The sequence below is a fragment of the Homo sapiens genome, chromosome 3, assembly GCF_000001405.40.
Source record: "Homo sapiens chromosome 3, GRCh38.p14 Primary Assembly".
NCBI classification, from domain to species: Eukaryota; Metazoa; Chordata; class Mammalia; order Primates; family Hominidae; genus Homo; species Homo sapiens.
The window spans coordinates 11,961,088-11,972,049 of record NC_000003.12 but is presented as its reverse complement, the minus strand read 5'-3'; the positions used below and the strand labels follow the sequence as shown (position 1 = coordinate 11,972,049).

Here is a 10,962-nt window from a genome sequence, read left to right as displayed (position 1 = left end):
TACGTGGATCCCCCACCAACTAAAACACATTTCCTAGTCACAAACTGTGTCCCTGTTCTGCTTCTCAAGACCCCAGGGACTCATGATGCTCTCCTGTCCCTTCAAATGTTGCCAGAATGTAAATTGGCACAAATTTTGAATATTTTGGTACATATATTTTATATTAGCCAGTAATTCCATTTTCTAGGAATTTATTTTTATAAAATAATCATGGGTGTGCTCAAAGACACATGGCTGAGAATATCTGTGGCCACATTATTTGTGGCAGTGAAAACGAAATGACCTAAAAGACCAACAGTAGGAGACCAGATTCACAAATGGTAGGATATCCAAAAAATGAATCTAATAACAATAACATGTCACTCTACCAAGTACTTCTCTAGGAACTTTACATATGTTAACTCACTTAATTGTCACAACAATCCCACAGGGTAAATATTATAGACACACTTTATAGGTGAGGAAACTGAAACACAGGTTAACTCTCGTGCCCAAGATCACACAGCTGGTAAGCAGAAGAGCTGACATTTGAAACTAGGCCACCTGGACACAGCATCTATGTTCTTAATCACTATGCTGCAGTCCTTTCATTGAAACTGATGTTGTAAATGAAAAAACAATTTTTGAGACAGGGTCTGGCACTGTCACCCAGGCTGGAGTGTAGTGGCACCTTCATAGCTCACTGCAGCCTCTACATCCAGGGCTCAAGTGATACTCCAGCCTCAGTCTCCAGAGTAGGCTGATTTTTTTCATTTTTAGTAGAGATGAGGTCTCACTATGTTGCTCAGGCTGGTCTCAAACTTCCTGAGCTCAGGCAATCCTCCTGCATCAGCCTCCCAAAGTGCTGGGATTACAGGAATGAGCCACCGCGCCTGGCCAGAAAATTTACTGACTGGGAAAGTGTTTCCAATGTATCAGTAAGTGAAAAAAGCAGGCAGAGAAAAAAGTCTAGAAAAACATATACCATATGTCAAAGAGATTATTTCCGGTTGGTGGGATTGTGATTTTTGTTGTCTGTTCTTTTAGACATTTTCCAGGTTTTCTGTACCGAATGCTTATTACCTTAAATTAGACAAATGAAACAAGAAAATAGGACTTTTCTTCTCACATCTCCTATTCTTTGCTGCTTCTGAAGACAAAACAATTGGTTCTTTGTGATGACAATAAAATGATGATGATAATAGCCAACATTTAATGAGCTCTTAGTATGCAAATGAATTGACAAGCATGATCTCATTTAACTCTCTTCAGTCAGAACTACTCTATACAGCCTCCCAAGCTGTGCACTGCACAATTCCAGGGGGCACCACAATATATTGTCTATATTATGGACAGTACTGTGAATGCTGGCCCTTGGACCTGTGCAACATGGCTGCCCTGTCAACAATTCTAAGGGGTAGATATTCTCATACTCTTCACTTTGTAGAAGAGGAAACTGAGGCACAGAAAGGCTAATTAACTTCTCCACATCACACAGCTAGTGAGTGGAACCAGTACTGAAACCCAGGCTGCCTGACTTCGTGGTCTATTCTCTTATTTGTAATTGCAGAGGGGATGACAAAGGAGGCAAAGTAAAAGCTGGGCATCTTGACAAAGATTTCAGAACCAGCAGAGGCACTGTGATGACATAAAAGGAGCACTGGCCAAAAGGTAGGACACCCATGCTGTAGTCCCTGCTCTGTCCCCACCTGGCTATGTGACCTAAGGAAAGTTCTTTTTTCCCTCTGGGCTCAGCTTCTCCATCTGCAAAAGGAGGGAATTACACAGGATGATCTTTAAGATTTCCTCCAGCTCTGAGAGTCTACAATTACAGATGGCATCCCAATATGGGCCCCGAATCGTGCCCTCCCACTCAGCATGGACCATCTCCCTCTTGCTCGCTGGAGGCAGCATCTCTCACGCTGACCTACTTTGTGTGTGGGGGAGAGGAGGGCAGAGTGGAGCAGTAAGAAGGGAGTGAGAAACCAAAGGTTTGCCCTCCTGAGAGACCCAGGCTCCTCCCCAGCCTGCTAAAGATTTAGGCAGTACCCATCCACCTCCTTCTGACACCTCTCCTCCCTGCTCCTCAGAATGCAGCAGGCTGAAAAACCTGAGCAGGCTGGCTGTATTGTCTTAATGCATTGCTTGTATTTTTCAGTCGTGTTGGTGATTCACCAGGGTATTTCTTTCTCCAACTTTCCAAACCTGCTTCGTTAAAGTCATTCTTGCAGGATCTTCAGGATGTTTTATTAAACAAAAACACGAGGTACAGAACTGTGTGTATGGGGTGAGAAAAAATAATTTAAGCATACATGTGTGTTTGTGAAGAAAGAAAGAATAAATATTTCTGGAAGAAGACATGAGAGACTGGTAACCACTTGTGTCGCAGGAGGTACTCTGAGTGGGGGTAGAGCATAGGCAGGACGGAGGCTTTATGCCTTTTGAATGTATGTGTGTTACCTACTCAATTGTTTATTTTATTTATTTATTTATTTATGAGACAAAGTCTCTCTCTGTCACACAGGCTGGAGTGCAGTGGTGTGGCCTCGGCTCACTGCAGCTTCACCCTCCCAGGCTCAAGCCATCTTCCTGCCTCAGCCTTCAGAGCAGCTAGGGCCACAGGCATGCCCCACCACATCCAGCTAATTTTTTAATTGTTTGTAGAGGCAAGTTCTTGCTATGTTGCCCAGGCTGGCCTCAAACACCTCAACTTCTAAAAAATCAATAGGCCGGGCATGGTGGCTCATTCCTGTAATCCCAGCACTTTGGGAGGCCAAGGCCAAGGCGGGTGGATCACTTGAGCCCAGAAGTTCAAGACCAGCCAAAGCAACATAGGGAGACCCAGTCTCTATAAAAAAAGAAAAAATAATCAAAAAGACATTCTTCTTCCCAAAACTTCCTGACTGTATTTGTTTGCTAGGCTGCCATAACAAAGAATCACAGCCTGAGTGGCTTGAACGGTATCTCACAGTTTTGGAGACAAAACGTCCAAGATCAAATTCGGCGGGGTTGGTTCCTTATGAAGCCTCTCTCCTTGGCTTGTAGATGCCATCTTCTCCTGGTCTCCACGTGGTCTTCCCCACTTGTGTCTGTGTCCAGATTTTCTCTTCTTATTAGGACACCAGTCCCAGTGAATTAGGGTCCACCCTAATGACCTCATTTTAACTTAGTTACCTATTTACAGGCCCCATCTCAAAACACAGTCTCATTCTTTTTTTGTTTTTTTTTTTTTTTTTTGAGACGGAGTCTCGCTCTGTCACCCAGACTGGAGTGCAGTGGCGCAACCTCGGCTCACTGCAACCTCTGCCTCCCGGGTTCAAGTGATTCTCCTGCCTCAGCCTCCTGAGTAGTTGGGATTACAGGCGTGCACCACCACACCCGGCTAATTTTTGTATTTTTAGTAGAGACAAGGTTTCACCATGTTGATCAGGCTGGTCTTGAACTCCTGACCTTGTGATCCACCCGCCTCGGCCTCCCAAAGTGCTGGGATTACAGGCTTGAGCCACATTCTGCAGTATGGGGATTAGGACTTCTACATGTGAATTTTGGGAGAACTCAATTCAACCCGTAACACTGGTCTAGGTGAATGAATTTGACCCCTTGAGACCAGTGGCCCTCTGAGGAACAGGTACAGACTAAATCTTAGACTCGATTGACTTGAATGGAACACCTCTTGTGAGGGGAGCACTGTTTTAGGCTTGGGACTAGTACTAAACTGAATTCGATTTGACTCTGGTCAGGAGGTAGAGAGGGAGATGAGAACTAGACTCCTCGACTGAACATCAGAAGAGCTGATCATGGAACCATGGGTCTACCACTTCCCAGCCACGCTAGCCTGGACAGTATTTTTAGCCACCAGTTCTGTCATGTGTAAAGTGCATGTCATAATCCATACCTCCAAAGGTGATTGCAAAGTTTAAAGGAGAAAAGACCCGTAAAATGCCTGGTATATAGTAAGTGTTTAATATACAGTATTTACCACCCGTCTCATCTTCCAGCTCAACTGTGGGCTCCAGGAAGCAGGGCCTATGGCTTTTTCATCTCATGGCCCTGGAACGTAGCATTGAACACCAGGGCATGGGTTGAGCAGTTTTGTTGGAAGCAGTAGCCCAGACTGATTTGCGAGGCTGTGTGGATGTGTCCTGGAGGGACCTTCAGAATTAGCACAGGGGCCATCTTGAAAAGCAGTGTTTCATAATGAAGAAAATCTGTGTATGAATGTGAACATGACCTCCTTGGGAACCACCTGCTGATGAAGCCGAGGGATGCTTGAGCTATATTTGGATCTCCTGTTGTTCATGACAGACACACCTCCCCAGGACAATGGGAACACATCAGAGTTGGAGTGAACATCTGCCCTGCATTAGTCAGGGCACTCCACAGAACCAGAACCAATAGGATAGATAGATGATAGTCAGATAGATAGATAGATAGATAGATAGATAGATAGATAGATAGAATAGGAGATTTATTATAGGAATTGGTTCATGCAGTTATGGAGGCTGAGAAGTCCCACGAACTGCTGTCTCCAAGCTGGAGAACCAACAAAGCTGGTGGCGTAATTCAGTCCAAGCCTGAGGGCCTGAGAGTGGGGATCCAATGGTGGAAGCCCTGGTCTGAGTCTGAAAGCCAAGAACCAGGAGCACCGATGCCCAAAGGCTGGGGAAGATTGCTATCTCAGAGAGAGAGAGAGAGGGCAAAATCACGCTTTCTCTGCCTTTTCGTTCTATCCAAGCCCTCACTAGATTAGATGACACCCACCCATATTGGTGAGGGTGATCTTCTTACTCAGTCTACCAATTTAAATAATATCTTCCATTGACACCCTCACAGACACACCTAGAAATAATGTCTTACCAGATATCCGGGCATCCATTATCCCAGACAAGTTGACGCATAAAATTAACCGCCACAATCCTCGCTGCTTCTGGTAATAGAATTACACTTTTCCTTTGGGGAACCAGCCTCATTCATTCTTGGCTTATGTAGTTTGGATGGGTGGGCCACATCTCAAGCTCCAGGAATGAGCACATGGCTCAGATCCGGCCATTGCCTGTACCATATTCTCTGGTTTACCATGGTTGGTTCAGTGATTAGCACATGACTGCAGCTGGCAATCTGAGTGATTCATAGGAACTTTACTGGGACTATGAAGAATGAAGGCCAGGCACAATGTCTCACACCTGTAATTCCAGCAATTTGGGAGGCCAAGGCAGGCAGATCACCTGAGGTCAGGAGTTTGAGACCAGCCTGGCCAACAGGGTGAAACCCCGTCTCCACTAAAAACACAAAAAATTAGCCAGGCATGGTGGCACATGCGCTTGTAATCCCAGCTACTCGGGAGGCTGCGGCACAAGAATCGCTTGAACCCAGGAGGCGGAGGTTGCAGTGAGCTGAGATCATGCCACTGCACTCCAGCCTCAGTGACAGAACAAAACTCTGTCCCCCCCCCAAAAAAAAAAGAGAGAGAGAAAGAAGTGCTTTTTTTTCCACCAGGGTTGCTAAACTGGAACTGCTACTGGCCATTTTGCCACCTTGAGGGGAAAACGTGCCTGAGTTCCTGGTTACATTGTGTGAGCACCTGGATTCAGGCTTGCATGAAGCCAGAACTAGTCCTGAATGTCTTGGTTAGATAAGCCAATAAACCGATTCAGGACACTTCAGTAGAGGGTGGTTGATTTTGTGCTCTGGGTGTGTTAGAACTGACTTATATTAGCTAACGAGATGAAGTGTTAAATATTTGGGAATTTCATGACTGGTTGTTAAACCGTCGGTAGCTGGATATCAGCCATGGTCAGAATATTTATCCCACGGATATCATGAAATGCCACAGATCAAGGCACATTTTCCTCCTTGGAGAATCAGTTTACCAGCAAATCACAGGTCCTGACCTTGATTCAATAGGTCCCAAAACGTCCAGCAAGAATGACTGCTGGCCAGGGGTGGTGACTCATGTCTATAATCTCAATACTTTGGGAGGCTAAGGCAGGAGGATTGCTTGAGGCCAAGTGTTCCAGACCAGGCTGGGCAACATAGCAAGACCCTGTCTCTACAAAAAATTTAGAATTCAGCCAAGTGTGGCTGTGCTTACCTGTAGTCTTAGCTACTTGGGAGGCTGAGGTGGGAGTATCACTTGAGCCCAGGAGTTGGAGGCTGCGGTGAGCTGTAGCTGTGATAGTGCCACTGTACTCCAGCCTAGGCAAGAGTGACACCCTGTCTCAAAAAAAAAAAAAAAAAAAAAAAAAAAAAAAAACTCAACAACAAACTAGAATGACTGTTAAACAACAACAACCACCAACATCTATATTTCACTTCCTGGCACTTTCTCATCCATAATCTCATCTTGTCCCTCCAGCAATGCTGTAAAGTAGAAGTTATTACTCACATCCTACAGGTAAGGAATCCAAGGCCTAGATAAATGCCTTCCTTGTGGTCAGGTGGCAGAGCTAAGAAATAAGCTCAGGTCTTTGGACCCCATGCTTAATGTTGTTTCCCTGACACCCTGTAGGAGGTGACTGGAATGTCACAACAGGGTCTAAACAAGCAATTTGGTCACTGGGTATGGAGAAACTGTTTTTGTAAAAAGAGTGTTTTAACCACCTCTGAACAGAGGTGGTCAATTAGGAAGGCAGTCGCCCGGGGATCAGCAGTTACACTACATATTCAATGTGCTGAGAAAACACAGCATTATTTCCAGGAGATTATATAGCTCACATTTGCACAGAATTTTTTGGTTTTTAAAGCCCTTTCAAGTCTGTTGCCTCTGCAGATAGACTCCCTTAAAATGCTTAGAAAGTCGGGCCCTATGTAACAGACTGATTAACCAAAAACCCACCACCAGTACTCTTTTCCCTTCACTGCCTATATTAAAATAGCCTGGAAAAGGCCAGGCGTGGTGGCTCATGCCTGTAATCCCAGGACTTTGGGAGGCCGAGGTGGGCGGATCACTTGAGGTCAGGAGTTTGAGACCAGTCTGACCAACATGGTGAAACCCCCATCTCTACTAAAAATATGAAAAATTAGCCAGGCATGGTGGCATGTGCCTGTAGTCCCATCTACTCGAGAGGCTAAGGCAGGAGAATCCCTTGGACCTGGAGGTGGAGGTTGCAGTGAGCCGAGATTGTGCCACTGCACTCCAGCCTGGGTGACAGAGTGAGTGAGACTCCATCTCAATTAAAAAAAAAAAAAAAGCTCGAAAAAAATATTTACTTTTGCTGCCTCAAGACGTGACCTAGTTCTGGCTATTGAGATTTATGCAAAAGTCTGCTTTCTTGATAAAAAGTATTGTCTTTCCCCACTTCATCCTGCCTTGAGAAAAGATGTGATACATGGTGCTGCAGCAGCTATTTTGTAGTTATGAGGTGACAAGACAAAAAACTAAGCACAGCAGAGCAGAAAGACAGCAAAAGTATGAGTTCTCAATGGTATTATTGAGTCTGCACTGGGCTGCTTCCTCTGAATCTTTTGTTATGTGAGAAATATAAACTACTGTTACTTGGGCATCCTGTTACCTACAGTGGAAACATGCTAATATAATTAACAATTCTAGTTCTAGAAGTTTATCATAGAGATTACCTATAATGGGGAAAAACTGGAAACAGTCTAAATGTGCACAAAAGGAGGTTGATGAAATAAATTATAGGGTGGCCATATATTGTATACTATTCAATTATTGAAAACTGCATTGCAGACAAGCACTTCTTAAACTTGCGTTCTTAAACAAGTACCTACAGACATTTTTCTGTGGGTGTATATGTGCCTTTTTCTGAGAATATAATGTTTATCAGACTCTCAAAGGGGTTTCAAGAAAGTTGAAGAATCACTACAGGTTGAGCATCACAAGTCAGAAAACCCAAAACCTGAAATGCTCCAAAATCCTAAATATTCTGAGCACTGACATGATGCTGAAAGGAAATGCTCATTGGAGGCTTTTGGACTTGGGATGCTCAGCTGGTAGGTATAATGCAAATATTCCAAAATTTGAAAAAAAATAAAAAAATCCAAAACATGTTTGGTCCCAGGCATTTGGTATAAGAGATACTCGATCTGTATTAAAATTACTATTTGTAAACATAGAAAGATGTTCACAATATTTTGAGGGAACAGAAATTTATAAAAGAGTATGTACACCATTCTTCCATATTGGAAAAATTGCATATATGTTATCAATGTAAGCATGCATGGTAGTGGGCTAAAATACACAGAATGCACACTTGGGTGTCCAAAAAATAGCTTTATTTATTAATTTAAATTGAACTTATCTTAGGCTACTATATCACATTCCTGATGATTGTAGAAAACAAATTTGCAGCTTAAAGTAAATTCAGACGTTTCCTGACTTAAAGTGATCAGTTCAGGCCAGGCATGGTGGCACACGCCTGTAATCCTAGCACTTTGGGAGGCCAGGCGGATTGCTTGAACTCAGGAGTTCAAGACCAGCTTGGGCAACATGGTGAAACCCCATCTCTAACAAAAAAATACAAAAATTAGCCGGGCGTGGTGGTGCATGCCTGTAGTCCCAGCTACTTGGGAGGCTGAGGTGGGAGGATGGCTTGAACCCGGGAGATTGAGGCTGCCGTGAGCTGAGATTGTGCCACTGCACTCTGGCCTGGGCAACAGAGCGAGACCCCGTCTCAAAACAATCAATCAATCAATCAATAAAAGATCAGTTCATAATCCTCCCATTTTCTAATCCTTCTCTGGGTGATTTTAGCTCTTCGGTGGACAGATGCATCATCCTAGAATCCAGAGAAGCAGCATCTGGTGCCTGTGCTGCTGCCTGTTCTTCCCTGGCCTCTACACATTATCTTACCTGGTTCCCACCATGAAGCACTGGCATCTGCTGCTAATATCTGTGGTCCTGCCCTGGCTGCCAGTTGAGATGTCTATGCGCTCCTGATTTACCTTGTCACAATTTATTCTCAGCTTGTTTGGTATCCATCGTAGGGGTCCATGAGAAATTTTTAGATGCTTTTCCACATCTGAAAGTATGCCTTCAGCCTTGCCCAATCAATGGCTATTTTGCCCTTCAGTGTACCAGATTTGACATGGAGCAACTTTAATGAACTTGCATCCTGGGAAGAAAGGTTCAAGTTCCTTCTGCTTTTGTATTCTCGCTAAACCTGCTTAGGACGCCCAGTGTCCACTCCCACTCTCAGGTGTGGGGCAGTGCTCCGAGCCCCTTTTCAGAACCTAGGCAATGCGTCAGCTGTGGTCTCATCTGTCTAATTCTGCCTTTCCTCTCCAGACGTTCCTACTCTTATCTCTCTCTCTGTCTTTTTTTTCTTTCTTTTTCATTCTGGGGTTTATCTTACAAACGCTGTGCTCTAAGTTTTCCACGTTTGCTCTTTTCTGTACCAAGTCAGGCTGTTGCAAATCTGGAGATAAACAATTTCTGTCAAAAAAAATCCTGGCTTTTGTGAATAAGAAGTACTTTGGCTTCCAAACTTATGCCCATGCTATAGGTTTTCAAGTCATTTTATGAGTAACTAAGAATTTGGCCTTTTGTTTTTCTAGACTCTTTATTGTCCTTATGGGCAGTACCTTAAAAGGCCCGAATGGTGGGTGTAAAACACAAAAGATACAAGGTAACATGTGTTAGAAGGAAATAACCTCTTAATAATTCAAAATATTTTCCTTCTGCCTGTGCAGTGGAAAAGATCTGAAAAGATACATGATGAGGTGTCAGCAGTTATGATCTTGGGATGCTGGGAGTATATTAAGGTAACAGTTATGGTGGAAATTACAGAGAACCCAACTAGCAGTGGCTTAAAATAACAAGAGTTTATTCTTCTGGCACAGTAAGTCTGGAGGTAGGCAGCTGCTGGCATTGGCTCAGCAACGCAACATTGTCAGGGCCAGCATCTTTGCGGTTCCCTTGGCCTTTCCCCGAGGTCTCAAGATGGTTGCCACTCAACATGTTAAATCTCACATTCAAGGCGGAAGGGATGGCACCAACCCCATCTGTTCTTTTGAACTAGAAAAGCAAAGGCCTTACATTTTTATCTTATTGGCCAACACTAGGTCACATGGTCACCCCAGCTGCAAGGTAGGCTGGGAAAACCAGGGGCAGGTTGGCATTGGGTTAGCCGGTCAACCACACCTAGCGCAAAGGATATTTACATTGCTTTTCTTGTTTCTCTGTATCTTCTCATTTTCTACTTTATTTTTGTTTTTAGAGACAGAGTCTTGTTCTGCCACCCAGGCTGGAGTGCAATGGCACAATTGTAGCTTTCTGCAGCCTCTAACTCTTGGCCTCAAGTGATCCTCTCACCTCAGCCTCCCAAGTAGCTAGGACTACAGACATGAGCCACCAAACCCAGCTAAATTTTTTTTCTTTTAGAGATAGGGTCTCACTATCTTGCCCCGGCTGGTCTGGAACTCCTGGCCTCAGGTGATCCTCCTGCCTTGACCTCCCAAAAATGCTAGGATTATAGGCGTGAACTACTACATCCCAAATTTTTCCACTTACAAAATCGTTTATTTTTTTAGAGACAGGGTCTCATCTGTTGTCTAGACTGGAGTGCAGTAACATGATCATAGAATCATAGATCATAGCTCACTGTAGCCTCGAACTCCTGTCCTCAAGTGATCCTCACGTCTTGGCCTCCTAAAGTGCTAGGATTAGAGGTGCAAGCCACTGTGCCAAGGCTAATTTTTCCACCATTGACAAGTATTGTGTTTGTAAGTGCTATATGTAATTAAATACTAATAAATAATATTCAGAAATGAAATATACGGCCTCATTTGATTCTCCCAACTCCTTGCCCTCTGTATAATCTTGCCCTCATATTAGGAGAAGGTAAGGCTCATATGTCAAATGACTTTTCCAAGGCACCTGCAAATTATTGGCAATGCTCAACAAAGAATGCAGGTATCCAGATTCCATCACCTGATGGAGGATACCAATTTGCTGTTAACTATCAGGAAGCTTATAAATGAAACTTCACAGTTAAGTTGATAGAGAGGCTAGGAAAATTAATT

The 10,962-nt window shown here is 43.9% G+C and overlaps 1 annotated feature.

Annotated features, from left to right (window-relative positions):
• Window positions 10,282–10,425: a silencer, noted in NCBI's record as "fragment chr3:12003099-12003242 (GRCh37/hg19 assembly coordinates)". NCBI's record gives its function as "represses an EF-1alpha promoter that drives an FKBP-Casp9 reporter gene in an ReSE screen in K562 erythroleukemia cells {active_cell/tissue: K562}" and the evidence as "EXISTENCE:reporter gene assay evidence [ECO:0000049][PMID:32094911]".